The sequence below is a fragment of the Homo sapiens genome, chromosome 6 (assembly GCF_000001405.40).
Source record: "Homo sapiens chromosome 6, GRCh38.p14 Primary Assembly".
In the NCBI taxonomy this organism is placed as follows: Eukaryota; Metazoa; Chordata; class Mammalia; order Primates; family Hominidae; genus Homo; species Homo sapiens.
Window position 1 is genome coordinate 32,968,530 of NC_000006.12, and position 18,154 is coordinate 32,986,683.

General features: G+C 49.6%; 1 protein-coding gene across 7 annotated transcripts, besides 3 other annotated features; it reads left to right on the forward strand.

The window, feature by feature from the left end:
• On the forward strand, positions 65-12,976 carry BRD2 (bromodomain containing 2). Of its 7 annotated transcripts, NM_001291986.2 has the most exons (14): positions 2,401-2,668; positions 3,066-4,398; positions 5,933-6,236; positions 6,492-6,583; positions 6,855-6,992; positions 7,502-7,640; positions 7,721-7,935; positions 8,033-8,407; positions 8,913-9,041; positions 9,228-9,476; positions 9,597-9,859; positions 11,299-11,603; positions 11,813-11,935; positions 12,053-12,972. In NM_001291986.2, exons 5-14 carry the CDS (start codon positions 6,882-6,884, stop codon positions 12,187-12,189), a joined length of 2,046 nt encoding a protein of 681 aa, NP_001278915.1. In that variant the 5' UTR covers positions 2,401-2,668; positions 3,066-4,398; positions 5,933-6,236; positions 6,492-6,583; positions 6,855-6,881; the 3' UTR covers positions 12,190-12,972. The 7 variants fall into 7 exon arrangements, with proteins under 7 accessions (NP_005095.1, NP_001278915.1, NP_001106653.1 ...); NM_005104.4 differs by lacking the exons at positions 2,401-2,668; positions 6,492-6,583 and adding an exon at positions 65-527; NM_001113182.3 differs by lacking the exon at positions 6,492-6,583.
• Positions 980-2,179: an enhancer, noted in NCBI's record as "MED14-independent group 3 enhancer chr6:32937286-32938485 (GRCh37/hg19 assembly coordinates)". NCBI's record gives its function as "activates an origin of replication core promoter dependent on BRD2, BRD4, P300/CBP and CDK7 cofactors, and independent of MED14, by STARR-seq in HCT116 cells {active_cell/tissue: HCT116}" and the evidence as "EXISTENCE:reporter gene assay evidence [ECO:0000049][PMID:35650434]".
• Positions 1,298-1,836: an enhancer, noted in NCBI's record as "NANOG-H3K27ac-H3K4me1 hESC enhancer chr6:32937604-32938142 (GRCh37/hg19 assembly coordinates)". NCBI's record gives its function as "activates a minimal SCP1, AML or CMV promoter by ChIP-STARR-seq in primed H9 embryonic stem cells {active_cell/tissue: H9 hESC(primed)}" and the evidence as "EXISTENCE:reporter gene assay evidence [ECO:0000049][PMID:30033119]".
• Positions 3,648-4,256: an enhancer, noted in NCBI's record as "NANOG-H3K27ac-H3K4me1 hESC enhancer chr6:32939954-32940562 (GRCh37/hg19 assembly coordinates)". NCBI's record gives its function as "activates a minimal SCP1, AML or CMV promoter by ChIP-STARR-seq in primed H9 embryonic stem cells {active_cell/tissue: H9 hESC(primed)}" and the evidence as "EXISTENCE:reporter gene assay evidence [ECO:0000049][PMID:30033119]".

Consider the following 18,154-nt stretch of genomic DNA (forward strand, 5'->3'; position numbering starts at 1 on the left):
CCGCAGCCTCTGGCCCTCCTTCCCCCTCCCCCAGTCAGGGCGCACCCTTGCGCCTGCGCTGTGTGTGTTCCTGGTCTGCGGCAGCCATGCTGAACTCGTATGGAGAGGCGAGTGGGGGGGACAGAGTCCAGGACTGCGGGATAGGAAGCTGGGGATATGGACAAGCAGCAGCGTTATAGCGCTCTGGGTTTCGGGACATAGGCCTGGGCCATGCGGCCCCCTTGGCCCCTTGGCGCGACCCCCAGGAACGTTCGGAAAGCTGGTCCTCGTGGCTGGGGGAAAGGCGGGGGGTGGGGGGGAAGCGGGCACGTGACCCCGGTCAGCCAATCTGGGTGCTGCTGACGTGGCCGCGCGGCCCCGATGCTCTCCCCACCCCCCCAGCCCGTTCGGGAAGGGAGGGGCTGGGGGCTACGCCCCCTCCCCCAGCACGGCTTCGTTTTCTGGGGGGGGGTTGACACCCCGGATTACATACCCCGTACCAAGCCGAGGGCAACTTTGGAGGCCCCCTGGAAGGCTTTAGGATCCAGGTGAGAAGGGGCCCTTGTGGGGCGGAGATGTCAGTCAAGTGCTTAACCAATGGTGGGGAGTCCGGGAGGGGGATTCTTGGGGTTCAGGAAAGAATCCTGAGAGTGGGAAGATTTGTCCTTCAAACCTTTTACAGCCAATGGGAGCGTGGAGGGGGGGCGAGCGGGAGAGGGCCATGGGGGGGGAGGGGAATGGCCAGCCTCATGCCTCCGTACCCATTGGAGGGCAAAGGGGTTAGGGGGCGGTGTGGCCCCCCCTATTCCATTCGTCCCCTGGGGGTACAGCAGCCGGGAGCCAGGTGAGAAGGGATCCATCGGCGGCCGAGGGAGGGGTGACCTGGCGGTGGGCTGAGGAGTGGTGGCTGTGGCCCCTACCCGTGGATGTGAATGCTTTAGGAGTTGGCCACCCATGTTGTGAACTGAGGTTGTTCCCAGGCGCCAACTTCCTTTCTCCCCAGAGCCTCTGGAGGGAGCATTGCTGTGCGCCCTTTGTGTCCGCGGTAGGGGAGCTCCAGTCGTCACACCGCAGGCTGGAGGTTACGCTTCGAGTCGCTTACCGAATTTGTGTGCATTCACGTGGACACGGCCTGTGGGGCCTTTTGCCCCTGTAGGGTCTTTACTGAGCACGTGTCTACTCCAGGCTGGGGTGCTTACAAGCTGAAAGCTTGAGGTCTGCTTAGGAACAGAAACCAGGCCCAAGGTGGGTGCTGGCAGTAGGGGGTCTAGACAGCATGGTCTGAGATGCGAGGGAGGCTCGGGACCTGGAATGATTTCACAGCTCCCAAGGTTTCGGGTTTCTCCAGGGTGGCCTCTTCCATCGCCTCCCTCATCCCCTCCCCCAGTCCTGAACAGTTCTCTCCTTGTGTACTGCGGGGGAGGGAACGGAAAGGAGGAAAGAGTTACTTTCCCAAATTACTGAGTAGCAGTAGCCTCCCTGGTGACTCATGTGGGGGAAGGGAGGATAGAGGATCGGGAGGCAGTGATTTTCCGGAATGCAGGGAATAAACGAGAGCAATGTCTGGCTGCCCTTTTCCTAAGGCCTAGTATTTTCTCAGCCTCCTAAGTTTTTATTCCATGGCCGGCCCCCTGATGGGCCTCTGTCCTGGCCTGCAGAGCCCCGGTGGAGAAAAGCAGATTTGGGAGGTTGGGCCGCTAGGGGGAGGGGAAAAGGCCTCTGCAAAGTTGCTGTGTCATTGCCCTCCATGCTGCAGCCACCCAAACGGGGCCGCTTGTACTTTTGGGGGCCAGGGCCTGATCCCTGGCTGGGGGAAGGGGACTCTGCTCTCCTGACGCTCATTTTCCCCCGCCCTCCCGGGGTTTGCCCTACTCGGGGGGTCAGAAGACAGGAGATTGGCGGCCATTTTAGACGCAGTAACCGAGGTTGGAGTTGAAGGGCTACTGCAGAGGAGGGAGGGTGGCGTGGTTGCAGCTCAAGGACCTAGGCCCTTACGAGCCCTTCCGGGGCGAGGGGGAATCTTACCGTATATTTGTTCACCTACGTTGATTATTTTTCCCAGATACGTACACAAGTTTGTTTTCTCCCTGGTAGCGAAGAAAGGGGAAACGGGGGAGGGGACGCCCCACCAAAGCCCAGGTTTTCTCGGGTGGGGGAGATCCTTTCACTCTCTTGTAAGGGGGCGGGGACGGCCCCAGAGATGCTCTGGAGATCCTGACTCTGGGCTCTGGTTGATTCACAGAGTCTGCACCCTTATTTAGATAACCAAGTTAGGAGGAAGACTTAAGAGTAAGTTGGGGGGAGGGGGCGAAACTGAGCTCCCAAAATGGCTCCTGCCCCTCCTCGGAGGCGGACGGCCGGGGGGAGGGGAGGAGGGGAGGAGGGGGAGGGCTAGTCTGAGCCGCAGCCGCCGCCTCCTCCGCTCGCCCTCCTCCCTGGCGCTGACCGATGGACCAGCCGCTCCGTGGGGAGGACTCCGGACCCTGGTGGGGGGGCGGGGGGGTTCTTTCGCCCCCGTGGCGGAGGGCCCCTGAGAGGCGGATACGGGTGTGCCTTTGGGGGTGATGTGGCGTGTGGGGGGAAAGGTCCGAGCTCGCCTGGAGGGGGAGGGTTTTTCCCTTAAGTCATCCCTCCCAGGACTTGCTTTTTCTGCTCTGAGCCGGACGCCGGAATGGAGTTTGAGGAAGAGGTGAGGTGTGTTGCATTGTATAGGGTAGATGGATGCGTTTGGAGATTTTAATCCCACTTTTAGGGTTGCCGAGGATTTTTCGAACGAGCAGAAATGTATTGGTAACTGTAGGTGTGAGTGGGGAGGGATTAGAAAGGTGCTTGGACGTGCAAATTTGGGAGACGTATTTTAGCTTTTGTGGTCTTTGGGACTAAACAGTAGTAAATAATGTTTTGCTCGTCTTTCCATCGTTTGGCTTGAGGGAGGGAGTGGAGTATTATAAGACTCTGGCAACACTGTTTTAGACTGTGGGGCATGGGAACGTTAGATCCCCTCATCGCCGTTCTGAAGCCCGTAGCTGTTCGCCATAGAGGAGCAGGCCGCGGCTTCTAAGATGGCGTCTTTTTCCTCGTTTCAGATTCTTCGCTGCTGCTGCCTTACCGCCGAGAACCACCACCCGCCAGGCGTCTTGCGGCCACACCCCTGGCGGGTTCAGGCAGGCTACGCCCACGCGACCCCTCCCGTTTCCCTGCTTTGGCCAATGGAGGAGCTACGAATGGCACGACCTGCTCGAGCTTGGCAGTCTCCAGTTGGGCTGTGCATGGAAGCTTGGGAAGACTTTGTTGGAAGGGGAGGCGGGGAGAGAGTGCTGGAGGCTCTGGGGCGATGGCTTCCGCACCTCTTCCAACCACCCTCTTTCCCTGGAGTCGGCGGACCACAGCTCAGCCAATTGGCTTGGAGATGTGGCGGGTTGCCACTTCCCTGTGGGTCTCTGCGGCACTCTTCTGCCTGGTGACTGACACCTTGGAAATGAAGTTTATGACGTCATCGTTGCGGCTGGCCAATAGAAAAAGCTCCCGCGGAGAGGTGTTCCTTCCCCTTCGACTCAGCTTCTTCACCCGCGTGAGCGAGCGCGCGCGCGCGGAGGGGGTGGGGAAAAGCTCAAGCAGGGTGGCGCGCATGAGCGGCGAAGCTCCTCCTCCCCGCCTATATATAAAGGGCTGGCGCGGGGCTCGGCGGCGCCATTTCGTGCTGGAGTGGAGCAGCCTCTAGAACGAGCTGGAGGATTCTGCCTACCGATACAGAGCCTTCGAGTCGTCCGGGGCCGCCATTACAATCCACCTCCATCCGCTTGGAAATGGCCTTCGTCCCGGCCTATGACTGGTCCCAGCGGGCAGTACAGACCCCCTAGAAGCCCCTGGAGCTCCCCTTTTTCGGGCCCCGCCCAATCCTCGGAGTCTGTCCACCCCCTCTACTCCGCCCTCAAGAGGATTTCAAAGATGGAGGCGGCGGCTCCCTAAACCACTTTTCGTGTTCATCCGCCTCCATCCGAGATCGAAACGGGACCTCGTCGGCCCCGTAGGGGCCCGACAAGAAGAGGGAATCCCTGCAGACCAACAGCGGGCTATATTGACGACGGTGTCTGAGATCGGGGACCGTCTTTTGAAGAGTCAGTCCCTCCTTAGTTGCCCGCCTCAGCTGAGGCCGCCGCCATTTTCTTGCTGTCCGCCGTCTGCAGAGCGCGCCAAGCTGCCCGGAGCTCTCCGAGAGGCCCCAAAGAGACTGCTTTCGTGCCGGCCAGGCAGGGGGTTTGTCGCCTGGAGGCCCAAGAGGAACGGCCTCCCCCCAACTTAGCGGGTTATGCTGGACCGGGCGGTGAGGGGAACCGAGGCCACCCGGACTTTCCGCGGCTGAGGGCAGCGCCGGTTCCTTGCGGTCAAGATGCTGCAAAACGTGACTCCCCACAATAAGTACGTTTCCGCGAGCCGCGTGTGGGAAGGGGATGTTGCAGGGCGGCGGCACAGGGGTGTGGGGCGCCGTGTTGGGAGTACTGAGCGGCCCCGGCGCGCTGCTGTTGCGGCGCAGCTGTCGACTCGGTCGCGCGGAGGGAATTGAGCGACGGTTTTGGAACGGTGGTGGCGGCTCGGCTACTGCTCGTGGAGGGGAATACAGGTTGTCAATTTATACGCTATTAATGCCGCCGTGGCCCAGTCTTAACCGAGTCAGGCAGAGCTAGTTTGACGGTGGAGTGGAGTGAGGTTGAACAGCAGGTTTGGCGTTTGGTGGGTCTGGTATCTAGCGGCGGTCTGTTAGCCTTTTAGGGGGGATTCACGGACACCTCTAGCGCCCTGTAGGGTTGCCATGGTGACGGAGCGCTTAAGGGACTGGCAACGGGGATTCCCAGAGAAGGGTAAAGGGATCACTCTCCCGTGTGTGCAGGTTCCTAATGCCCAGGGTATGTCATTAAATCTTTTGCTTTCTTTGGGTGGGTGGGTTGTGTGTGGTGTTTGTTGGTGCAGGGATTGTTTTTTCCTAACATTAAAAGTTTGATTCAGGGCAGGAGGGTAGAGCTAAGGTTCCTAGTTCAGCTCTGCGATGTAAACAATGAGATTCCCATATGATGTTTTAATTCTTAGGTGGTAGGAAAGACTGATCGGAGGAGCACCAGAGGGACTGTAAATGAACCACTGTTAGCGTTTGGTGTCCGGAGTTGGTGCTACAGGGGGAACTGGTAGTGGAATCGTGTTGTGTAGTGGGTGGGTGGAAGGGGGCTATCACTTGGTGACCTTGACTGTTTTGTACGGCTTTTTGACTTCCTTGGAGTGAGGAGACTCTGATTTGGTGCGAATAATTTTGAGGGCCTGGAAGTTACGGGCTGTGAAGTCTGACAAATTCTTCCTTGTCTGAATTTGTTTTTAAGTTGATATGGTTCTTCCTCTGGGTTTCTAGTCTATGTTCTGTTGTGGCGTGAACTACCCAGACCTTGTGGAAGATGGTGCTCTCTCTTCTATCTAGGTGGATTATTCTGTGTCTTATCAGCATTTTATGGAATTTTTTATAGCCATAATTTGTTCTTTTCCTCCTTACCGGCGCTCAACCACCATGGCAACCACCAAACCCCTAGTGAGGAGGAAGCTTGGGGTTTGAGTTTCTTAACTCCACCCATTTTGCTTAAGCCCCATCCCCATAGGGCTGTAGTTCTGAGATGTCGTGCCTTGTCAGAAACAATTTGGGAGTTTTTTAAAATATGAAAAAGAACAGATAGAGCCTATCAGACTTAAGAAGGTGGGATCTAGATAGTATACTAAAAATATTAATAAAAGGAAGGCGGGGCCAGCAATAAAAGCTCCACAGATTGTTTGGATATTGTTTCTGCTTAAGAAGCACTTGGCATAAGCTTAACCACCTCACTAGGGCCAGCACCTGGATTCATCAGACTATTGTGCAGATGCACTTTTTCCTCATTTGGACGATATTGCCCTAATTTTGTTCCCATCTTTACAGGCTCCCTGGGGAAGGGAATGCAGGGTTGCTGGGGCTGGGCCCAGAAGCAGCAGCACCAGGGAAGAGGATTCGAAAACCCTCTCTCTTGTATGAGGGCTTTGAGAGCCCCACAATGGCTTCGGTGCCTGCTTTGCAACTTACCCCTGCCAACCCACCACCCCCGGAGGTGTCCAATCCCAAAAAGCCAGGACGAGTTACCAACCAGCTGCAATACCTACACAAGGTAGTGATGAAGGCTCTGTGGAAACATCAGTTCGCATGGCCATTCCGGCAGCCTGTGGATGCTGTCAAACTGGGTCTACCGGTGAGTAGAGACATTGGAGCCGGGGAGGTGTGGGATGAGCAAGAATGCGTGTGAATGGGGGTGGTCTGCCTAGTGTAGATGCTGCGGCCCCTAGGGAGTTCCCATTTCTCCCCTGTAGGGCAGTTAGCTACCAGATTTCTGGGTATCTTGGTCCTTTGTGATTGATCCGACCGCTTGCTGTAACTATCTTGGCATCTTTCCTTGTGCCCTCCATGTGTCCTTCCTTAACTTTTGTGCCCTGGCTCCATTTTACAGATTCCCACCTCGGGTTGGGAGAGGACCACGGTGGCCAAAATTCTTAGCTTCTTCCTTTCCCTCATGCAGCCCATGGATAGCCAGCCCCAGAGGTAATGTCACAGGATGGGAAGTTTCCAGAGTGGGTGGGAGGTGGGTGGTTAGAGAAAGGCAGCAGGGGCCTCCCTGTGGATGTCAAGAATCTTTTTTATTTATTTATTTATTTTGTCCCACAGTTTAATTGGGGCCGCAGTTTAAGTAACTGTTCCTTTGATGCATAGGGGGGGTGTGTGTGTGTGTGTGTGTGTGTGAGAGTCGGGGATCGGTAGTCTCCCTATAAGCATTTATTTTTCTGTGGTTCTGACCTAACATTTTTTTATTTAGGATTATCACAAAATTATAAAACAGCCTATGGACATGGGTACTATTAAGAGGAGACTTGAAAACAATTATTATTGGGCTGCTTCAGAGTGTATGCAAGATTTTAATACCATGTTCACCAACTGTTACATTTACAACAAGGTGAGTTTTTCTGTGTGTTCATTTAGTAGGTGGGGAGAAACAGTAACTTCTATTATTGCTGGATATGTTGTCTACATAAAGTTTAAATCCTTTGCTACTGAAGGTGTTATCCAGGTAGGGTAGTCGGAGTCTTAAAAACCTGACTCTAGATGGTACTATTGAACACAGTGATGTGACTTCAGAGCTCTAGTTGAAGGTTATTTAGAACACTTCATACTTGGGGGTGGTGGTCCTGTTTCTTAGAAATCACCAGAGACCTGAGTAGACCAGGGATCTGTTTTCTTGTCAGCTCTCAAGTTTTTTCTTCTTTCGAATTTTGGGAGACAGTTAGGAGAAAGTGGAAATTAGTAGTGGCCTGGAGTAGGAAATTTTCTTTAAGATTTGATGACAAGATGACTGGTGGGGGTATGGTAATGGCCTAGGGCCTGAATGCCTCTGAGAAAGATGGTGTGTATCTATCTTCTGTTGGCATTTTTTAACTTTCTTTATTGCTGTCTGTGTTCTCATAGCCCACTGATGATATTGTCCTAATGGCACAAACGCTGGAAAAGATATTCCTACAGAAGGTTGCATCAATGCCACAAGAAGAACAAGAGCTGGTAGTGACCATCCCTAAGAACAGCCACAAGAAGGGGGCCAAGTTGGCAGGTAGGAAGAGTGGGAGTTTTGCAAATGGACAACTAAAGATGGGGAAGAGAATCAAACTACACTTTTTTCCTTTTTTCTAGCGCTCCAGGGCAGTGTTACCAGTGCCCATCAGGTGCCTGCCGTCTCTTCTGTGTCACACACAGCCCTGTATACTCCTCCACCTGAGATACCTACCACTGTCCTCAACATTCCCCACCCATCAGTCATTTCCTCTCCACTTCTCAAGTCCTTGCACTCTGCTGGACCCCCGCTCCTTGCTGTTACTGCAGCTCCTCCAGCCCAGCCCCTTGCCAAGGTATGATCTGTGGATTTCCTCTGGGCAGCAGGGAGGCAAGGGTCTTAAGTAAAGTGGGCTTGGAGTGACAGGTTCCCTATCTTGTTTCTTTCTGCAGAAAAAAGGCGTAAAGCGGAAAGCAGATACTACCACCCCTACACCTACAGCCATCTTGGCTCCTGGTTCTCCAGCTAGCCCTCCTGGGAGTCTTGAGCCTAAGGCAGCACGGCTTCCCCCTATGCGTAGAGAGAGTGGTCGCCCCATCAAGCCCCCACGCAAAGACTTGCCTGACTCTCAGCAACAACACCAGAGCTCTAAGAAAGGAAAGCTTTCAGAACAGTTAAAACATTGCAATGGCATTTTGAAGGAGTTACTCTCTAAGAAGCATGCTGCCTATGCTTGGCCTTTCTATAAACCAGTGGATGCTTCTGCACTTGGCCTGCATGACTACCATGACATCATTAAGCACCCCATGGACCTCAGCACTGTCAAGGTACCCACTGCATGGGGCAGATGGGATGCTCAGGCAGTGATGGGAGCCTAGGTGCAAAACAATAAGTCTCCTTATGTGGGCACACAGCAGTCTTTGGTTCTTGGCATTTTACTTTTATAAAATAATAGTGGAACAGAAGGTCTGGTGTTTTGAGAATTTGTATTTCTTGGAGTTTGAAACAGTAGGGTGGGGTTTCTTTGTCTTGAGAAAAATACTGTCTATAATTAAGTACTAATGTGGCAGTGTTGGGTTAAGGAAGTTATAGGGTGGAAAAACAGGCATAGGCCACCTCTCTGTCACTTAGAAATGATTTCTTTTTCTAGACATAAATATTTCTTCAACCCACCCAAATTCCTTTGACTTCAAACTTGAACCCCAGGGCACAGATCCTTAAGGTCATCCCCACTGTGCTCTCAAGAGAGGGCTCTTCTTGTGGTGTCTGGGGTTGGCAGGGAAAGGTGAGTCTTCCTGCCTGTGCAGCTTCTGATGCTGCCTCCTTCTGCAGCGGAAGATGGAGAACCGTGATTACCGGGATGCACAGGAGTTTGCTGCTGATGTACGGCTTATGTTCTCCAACTGCTATAAGTACAATCCCCCAGATCACGATGTTGTGGCAATGGCACGAAAGCTACAGGTGAGTGGAAAGGTTGGAGTTTGAAAAATAAATGGTATGGGGAGTTATTTTGTCATGTGTGCTGCATAGCCTCAACGTGAGGGTCTCACTGTTCTGTACAGTTGTAAATTGGAGCTATATCACTTGGTGGCTGGGTATGTAGGGCACTGTTTATCAGCATAGTTTTGAGTTTGTGCCTCTTTGTAGGATGTATTTGAGTTCCGTTATGCCAAGATGCCAGATGAACCACTAGAACCAGGGCCTTTACCAGTCTCTACTGCCATGCCCCCTGGCTTGGCCAAATCGTCTTCAGAGTCCTCCAGTGAGGAAAGTAGCAGTGAGAGCTCCTCTGAGGAAGAGGAGGAGGAAGATGAGGAGGACGAGGAGGAAGAAGAGAGTGAAAGCTCAGACTCAGAGGAAGAAAGGGCTCATCGCTTAGCAGAACTACAGGAACAGGTATTTTGTCACTCTTGAAAGTTTTTATTGGGTAAGAGGTTCATGCCCTTTGTCCTCATTTTTTCTTCTTGTTATTTTATCTTTATTTACTTTTTCCACTTCATGTTTTTTTTCCTTTAGCTTCGGGCAGTACATGAACAACTGGCTGCTCTGTCCCAGGGTCCAATATCCAAGCCCAAGAGGAAAAGAGAGAAAAAAGAGAAAAAGAAGAAACGGAAGGCAGAGAAGCATCGAGGCCGAGCTGGGGCCGATGAAGATGACAAGGGGCCTAGGGCACCCCGCCCACCTCAACCTAAGAAGTCCAAGAAAGCAAGTGGCAGTGGGGGTGGCAGTGCTGCTTTAGGCCCTTCTGGCTTTGGACCTTCTGGAGGAAGTGGCACCAAGTGAGTTAGAGTAGGAAGCAGAGACTAGTTTGGCTATTTCTGTCTCTCTGGGGGATGCCATCTCTCTTTGCAAAGATAATTCTAAATGGCCAGTTAACAGATACAATAGGCTTTGAGCAGTGGTCCCCAACCTTTTTGGCACCAGGGACCAGTTTCGTGGAAGACAGATTTTACCACAGACAGGGTTTGAGGGGATGGTTTTTGGGATGAAACTGTTCCACCTCAGATCATTGGGCCATTGGATTCCCATAAGGAGCATGCAGCCTGGATATGTACCATGCGCACTTCACAGTAGGGTTCATGCTTCTATGAGAATCTAATGCTTCTGCTGATGTGACAGGCAGTGATGCCCACATGCCGGCTGTTCACCTCCTGCGTAGCCCAGTAACAGGCCACGGACTGGTACTGGTCTGGGGGTTGGGACCCCTGGCTTTGGGAGTCAGGGTGTTTCACAGCTACTCTGACAGTGAACTCAAAGTAGCCATAAACTAGAAACATGAAGATGGCTGTGTTCCAAAAAGACTTTATTTGCAAAGACACGTGGCGATCAGATTTGTTCTCTGGGCCATATAGTTTGCCTGTTGCTCTAAATCAATGAGTCTAGACTTGTTTTTCATGGCGTAGTAGTTTTTGGTTTTTTGGTGTGGTTTTGTGTTTTGTTTTTTTTTGTTAGTTTGTTTTTTGTTTTGTTTTTTTTAAAGACTCCAGGCTGGAGTGCAGTGGCGTGATCTCGGCTTACTGCAACCTCCACTTCTCGGGTTCAAGCGATTCTCCTGCCTCAGCCTCCCAAGTAGCCAGGATTACAGGCATGCGCCACCACGCCCAGCTAATTTTTGTATTTTTAGTGCGCAGCTAGTTTATGTAGTTTTAGTGGAGACGGGGTTTCGCCATGTTGGGCAGGCTGGTCTTGAACTCCTGACCTCAAGTGATCTGCCCGCCTTGGCCTCCCAAAGTGCTGGGATTACAAATCTGAGCCACTGCAGCTGGCCCATGGTGTAGTTTGGTAGTGTTTAAGGGAGCAGAAAGACCCATGTCAGTATACCTAAACAGGTATACCTTGTTTTATTGTGCTTCACTTTACGGAGTTTTTTTTAGATACTACTTTTTTTTTTAGTTGAAGATTTGTGACAACCCTGTGTGGAGCAAGTCTTTCAACAGTTTTTCCAACATGTTTGTGTGTCACATTTTTAGTAATATTTTTTCATTAAGGTATGTACGTACATTGTCTTTTTAAAGACATGTTATTGCCTACTTACAGTCGAGCAAAATGCTCTGTTTCACTATACAGTGTCCCAGTAGCCCACCTCTTACTTGGCCATTGAATGGAAAAACAGAAGCTCCACTCTGGGCAGGAAATAGGATCACTGAATTATAACAGTGGGAACATACTGGAAGAGGTTAATGAAGCTTCTTTTGCTGACAACTCTTTTTGCCCTTAGGCTCCCCAAAAAGGCCACAAAGACAGCCCCACCTGCCCTGCCTACAGGTTATGATTCAGAGGAGGAGGAAGAGAGCAGGCCCATGAGTTACGATGAGAAGCGGCAGCTGAGCCTGGACATCAACAAATTACCTGGGGAGAAGCTGGGCCGAGTTGTGCATATAATCCAAGCCAGGGAGCCCTCTTTACGTGATTCAAACCCAGAAGAGATTGAGATTGATTTTGAAACACTCAAGCCATCCACACTTAGAGAGCTTGAGCGCTATGTCCTTTCCTGCCTACGTAAGAAACCCCGGAAGCCCTACAGTACGTATGAAATGAGGTTCATCTCATGGTTCTGAGGACAGTTGAGGAAAGATGGTGGGGTCTGTTTGCATTCAGGATTGTCAGCTCCCAGGATAATGGGATGTGTTGGTTGGCAGCTGACGTTCAAGAAGGGAACTTGGGAACCTTAGGGGCCCATAATAAGATGCTTGGGGCAATCTTAATGTATCCTGATAAATTTCTTTCATTAGCCATTAAGAAGCCTGTGGGAAAGACAAAGGAGGAACTGGCTTTGGAGAAAAAGCGGGAATTAGAAAAGCGGTTACAAGATGTCAGCGGACAGCTCAATTCTACTAAAAAGCCCCCCAAGAAAGGTGAGTATATACTTTCATGCCACTACAGATTGACTCCATCCTGCCTTCTTGACTGTCTTTTATTGACAAATGAAGATTCAGACTTGAACGTCTTTAACTTTCGAATTTGTTCTGCAGCGAATGAGAAAACAGAGTCATCCTCTGCACAGCAAGTAGCAGTGTCACGCCTTAGCGCTTCCAGCTCCAGCTCAGATTCCAGCTCCTCCTCTTCCTCGTCGTCGTCTTCAGACACCAGTGATTCAGACTCAGGCTAAGGGGTCAGGCCAGATGGGGCAGGAAGGCTCCGCAGGACCGGACCCCTAGACCACCCTGCCCCACCTGCCCCTTCCCCCTTTGCTGTGACACTTCTTCATCTCACCCCCCCCCGCCCCCCTCTAGGAGAGCTGGCTCTGCAGTGGGGGAGGGATGCAGGGACATTTACTGAAGGAGGGACATGGACAAAACAACATTGAATTCCCAGCCCCATTGGGGAGTGATCTCTTGGACACAGAGCCCCCATTCAAAATGGGGCAGGGCAAGGGTGGGAGTGTGCAAAGCCCTGATCTGGAGTTACCTGAGGCCACAGCTGCCCTATTCACTTCTAAGGGCCCTGTTTTGAGATTGTTTGTTCTAATTTATTTTAAGCTAGGTAAGGCTGGGGGGAGGGTGGGGCCGTGGTCCCCTCAGCCTCCATGGGGAGGGAAGAAGGGGGAGCTCTTTTTTTACGTTGATTTTTTTTTTTCTACTCTGTTTTCCCTTTTTCCTTCCGCTCCATTTGGGGCCCTGGGGGTTTCAGTCATCTCCCCATTTGGTCCCCTGGACTGTCTTTGTTGATTCTAACTTGTAAATAAAGAAAATATTATTCAAGTTTTGAGTTACCTTAATATTTGCTTTTGTAGTGTTTCAAAAGGAACATCATAAGAATTGTCTTGATAATTTTGAGGGAAATATTACTGCAGTGAGAAAAGGCAATAGCTAACCTATAATTGGATTGTCTTAATTTTTAAACCAGTAGGCTTTTGCTGTGTTTTTAATAAAGTAAATATGACTTTTGTAAATTGAGTCCTTAGAAGTAATCTTTAGGTCTACAATTTGCTCTTGTTTAAATGAAAAATAGTACTGTGGCTCATTCATGCTTTAACCAAGAACTCAAAATTTTGAGGTAGGCTTTAGGTTTTTCCCTGTGGCACTGGATGTGTGAATTTTCTCCTGAGCAGACTTAAAATATGAGAAAAGGGTGGGAGGTAGCCGAACATAAGTACTTTATGCATTGAGTTTATTGCCTTTTAAAAGGAAATTGGCCTGTAATCCCAGCACTTTGGGAGGCCGAGGCGGGCAGATCACGAGGTCAGGAGATCGAGACCATGGTGAAACCCTGTCTACTAAAAAAAAATTAGCTGGGCGAGGTGGCGGGTACCTGTAGTCCCAGCTACTCGGGAGGCTGAGGCAGCAGAATGGCGTGAACTCGGGAGGCGGGGTTCAGTGAGCCGAGATCGCGCCACTGCACTCCAGCCTGGGTGGTAGACACTCCGTCTCAAAAAAAAAAGTAATTGGGCCTACTACATTGTTAAACATTGTTAAATTTTGCTGCCATGGTCACACACAAATTTACAGATAGTTTATTAGTAGAATACTAAAGAGTATTCCAACGATTAAATCACAAAACTGTGCTTTCTGCATACCCCCTTGTCTTGCTAAGGGGAGAGAAGGGTTGTATAAAAAGTTTAGGGGGTTGGGATGTGTGCATTCTGGAATTTGGGGCTTTAATACTGGAAAAGTGAGACATTTGCTTAGTATAGTGTACCATAGTAGGAAACCTGGATAGAGACGTGGAAATTAGAATCAGGAATGTAGTAAAGCAAATGGTTTATTTTGCTGTAAATGACACCACAAACTAAGTGTAGGGCAACACCACAAACTAAATGTAGGAAGCAATAAATTTTACTAGTGATGCTCAGCCCTCTTTAGGAATTCCGGCTAAACTGGGGCTTGAGCAACAATTTTCAAAAGCTCGGGAGATGGTAATAAAAAATTAGGTTTGTGAACCACCTGCTACTGTTTGCCAAGCACTTAGAGGGAAACAAACCCTTGTTTGGGCTTTCTTGCTAACTTGTGTGCACCAGTGAAAGCTCTTGAGCTCCCTTTGAGCTCTGGTTCCCTTTTGAGAATAACAGATGTTGAGGATTCGTAAGTACTTAATAGACACGCGTTGGGCAATAGGTGATGAGATACAAATTAAAGTTCTGAAAATCGGAGTAAATAGATTTAAGCTAAGTGCATGTCTATGTCAAGGATTACATCTCATTTCAGAGGGAATTGAAGGATTTAGTTGGATTAGTTTTGGGACAAAATATAGAATATTTTGTCTGACTGCAGCCCCTTCTGCTCATGTACTTTTAAGGTTTGTTTTCTGTAGTTCGGAAAAATAAAAGTTTCAACCTGACATTGGAGGCCCCTGAGTACTTAATTCCCTGTAAATGGAACCCAGACCGCCCTAAATGCTTTAAGAGAGAGAAGGGCTGGCTGACACAGGGGCTTCAGACCTGCCTTAAACCAATTGGACTAGTCTCTTAATTGACTTTAGTTTGAACTTATTTCAAGCCTGTCTCACTTAGGGATTGTAATTGTTTCAGGAGTTTGGTTGAGTTCCATCTTGGTTGCCAAAGGACTTTATTCCAAAATAGCAGTCTCCAGCACAACTCAAAGGACTAGTGGAGTCCTGTGGGCATTATTTCCCCCTATGCTCCTCTCAGCTCTTGGAATCATGGGTTCTATTGCTGCTGCTTTTTCCCTCTCCCCTCATGCTGCCATTTACTGCCTTTTATTGCGTCCATAGGAAGCCTTTTGTTGGGTTGTGGGGGAAGGTGAGAGTCGGTCTTATTTACTCAGTCACACATTTATTGAGTTCCCTTGATTGCCTTTTCAGCAAACTGTTAGGCCTGTAGACCTGGACGTTGCCAAGCCAGAGGGTATAAGGTGAAGATAAGACAAGGTCTTATCATGGAGTTTGCTTAGCACGAATAGGGTGCAATTATTAACCATCATGGTGTGGTAATTATACTGATTGAATCCAAGATATAGGCATGACTTGGTCTTCACAGACCATCCTTATTGTGCACCCATATGTGGACCCCAGTTCCAGCCTGCCTGTAACCTTCCCCAAAGTCCTGCTCTTAGGTTCACTCGGGACTACCTTGATTGGAAGGCCCTGCTTCCATGAGTGACCAGCATGAAGGACTCCCAGGACAAGGACCAGAGGTGACTGGTGTTACTCTGGGGCTTAGTGCAAGACTGGAGGAAGATTTTCCTGAGCAATTAGAGAGTGGCTGTAATGGAGAGCTGGGAAGGAGATGTGGGAATGGTAGCATGGAACTAATGTGTTGTCACCATGATTTCATTTTTTCCTGGGTCATCACCCTAAAGATACTCACAAAATCCCACTAGCTGGTCTCCAGCACTGAATGAGACGACAGCTTCTTGCTCTCAATTTATATTCTAGGATCGGGGAAAGGGGCAGCATTAGACAACTAGTCACACGATTTTTAACAAAAATAAGTAATTCTAACAGGACAATGTGCAGAGGTCTAGCAAGAATTTAGAAAAGAGGGTTCTCTGGTCTAAGCTGAGAGCTATTCAGATATCTCAGAACGATGAGTTCCTTCCTGTTTGTAAGGGGTGGATGGGTGGGAGCAGGGAGTAGTGAACATTGCCAGCAGAAGAAACAGCAACTGAGAAGGTAACTAGGTGATGCTGAAGCAGCAAGGATGAAGGTGAGTGCTTTGAGATGCTTTGAATTTACATCTCAAAGACTAATAGCTAACATTTATTGAGCACTTACTGTGTCCCATGCACTGTGCTAAATAAAAACTTACCCTGTAAACTCATTTGGTCCTCACTATAATCCTGTGAGGTACATCTTGTCTGCATTTAACAGATAAAGAAATGAGGCACAGAGAGATTAGTCAATTTGCCCAACATCACCACATTGTCAGTGAGCACTGGAGGTGGGTTTTGAAACCAGGCGATCTGGCTTCAGGGTCCACATTTATAACTACTGCACTAGACTTCCAGTGCTGTGGGCCAGTAGGGAGCTAGGAGATAGACATGCTTTAAGGAAATTGCACTAGGGACAATCATGTTAGGGTTGGTGGGGTGTTGAGAGTGGATAGTTTAGAAAGCAATTGCAGCAGTTAATCCCAGCCAGTGAGAATAGTGGTGTAGAAGAGAAAGGCAGCAATGTAGATGAAGAAATGTAGATAGATTTGAGAGCTATGTAGGAGTTAAAATAGATGGGACTTATTCTCAAAAGGTTCTTGTCTCCACACGTTAAAGGAACAGCAGAGCACACGTGCACTTGCAGACATACAGCTCTCAGAGTCCCTAGCACAGAGCTTTCCAATAGTGGAAGCTTGATATTTTGTTGACTAAAGGAGTGCCACCTGGCTGACTGGCAGATTTGAATGGAGCTCCCTCCAGCATGGCTTGCCGAAGGGGCAGGGGTTCTGAGGCTCTTGTAGACTGCCACTGAAGGTATTTGGCGCCACCTGTTGGGCGTGTTACCCACGATTGCCTCCTGAATCTATTGTCATTTTTGTGTCCTGCCCCCGAGGTTAGGTGGTTCTTCCCTTCTTACTTTCCTAAACTTCAACTCTTAAAATGTGAGCCTTCATTTTTATGACCCAGAGGGTCACAAAAGAAGGAGATTAGGCCTTTTTAGTCCTTATCTCCCTTTACCTCTGAAGCATCCCATGGGGCTTCCCTAGCATTTTATTTTATATTGATTTATTTATTTATTTTTAAGAAAGAGGATTTCTGTCACCCAGGCTGGAGTGCAGTGGTGTGATCATAGCTCACTGTAGCTTCGACCTTCTGGGCTCAAGTAATGCTCTTGCCTCAGCCTCCTGAGTAGCTGGGATTACAGGCATGAGCCACCGCACCCTGCATCTCCTGACTTCTTTGACTTGACACCACTTGTTCCTAGCTCTCATACTTTTCAGACAGCCATTTCTTAGTCTGCTTCTTTAAAGTCTCTGCCTCTGCCTCCCATAATATATTGTCCGTTATGACACCTTTCTTTGTCCTCTTTTTATTTGCACAGTATTTTTAAGCAAGTTTACCCATTCCTCTGGAGGCACCTCCCACCCATAAAATCTGTGTCTCTGTTTAGACCTTGTATTAGTCCATTCTCACATGGCTATGAGGAAATACCTGAGACTAGGTGATTTATAAAGGAAAGAGGTTTAATTGACTCACAGTTCTGCATGGCTGGGGAGGCCTCAGGAAACTTACAATCATGGCGGAAGACACCTCTTCACAGGGTGGCAGGAGAATGAGTGCCAAAGTGAAGTGGGGAAGCCCCTTATAAAACCATAAGATCTCGTGAGAACTCACTATCACGAGAACAGCATGGGGGAAACTGCCCCCATATCAAACCTTGAGTCAAAGTTCCAAGTGCCTAATGCAATGCCTAATGGCAAGGTCCCATAAGCTTGTGCACACATTTTTAGAAAAGATTCTACCTTTTTCCCCAAACATGTCCCTCGCAGTGAGTTCTCTAAGTCAGCAGTCCCCAGCTTTTTTGGCACCAAGGACTGGTTTTGTGGAAGACAACTTTTCTATGGATGGAGGCGGGGAGAATGGTTTCCAGATCAAACTGTTCTACTTCAGATCACCAGGCATTAGATTCTCAAAAGGAGTTTGCAACCTTCCCTCGCATGCTCAGTTCACAATAGGGTTTGCAGTCCTGTGAGAATCTAATGCCGCTGCTGATCTGACAAGAGGCAGAGCTTGCTCGCTGCTCACCTCCTGCTGTGCACCCCAGTTCCTACCAGGCCACGGACTGGTAGTGTTCAGTGGCCCAGAGGTTGGGGGACCCCTGCTATAAGGAACAAGCACTTATATAGAGTTTACTATGTACCAGACACTTATGAGCACTTTTGCAATTTAGTCTTCATAATAATCCTAAGAGGTAGGTACTCATCACCATTTTATACATGAGGAAACAGACATTTAGTAACAGTTCTATAGCTGCCTAGTTTCTTCCCCTTATTCTCCCCCAACTCCCTGTTCAGCCATTGAGGTCTGTTGAGCCTTCCTCTGTCCCTTCTCTCAGTGCCCCTCATCAGCCTGGACTCTCACACGACTCTGTCACTAGTCCATGTCTTTCAGCTATACTGTGTTGTTTCAGGGCCCATCACTCACCTCTCCCTTCATGCCCTGCCCTATCCCCACCACACCAGT

Coding starts and splice junctions, on each gene's coding strand:
- BRD2 (NM_001199455.1), top strand. CDS start 4,370: ATGCTGCAAAACGTGACTCCCCACAATAA. Junction 4,399..5,932: donor AACGTGACTCCCCACAATAA/GTACGTTTCCGC, acceptor CCATCTTTACAG/GCTCCCTGGGGAAGGGAATG. Junction 8,408..8,912: donor TGGACCTCAGCACTGTCAAG/GTACCCACTGCA, acceptor CTCCTTCTGCAG/CGGAAGATGGAGAACCGTGA.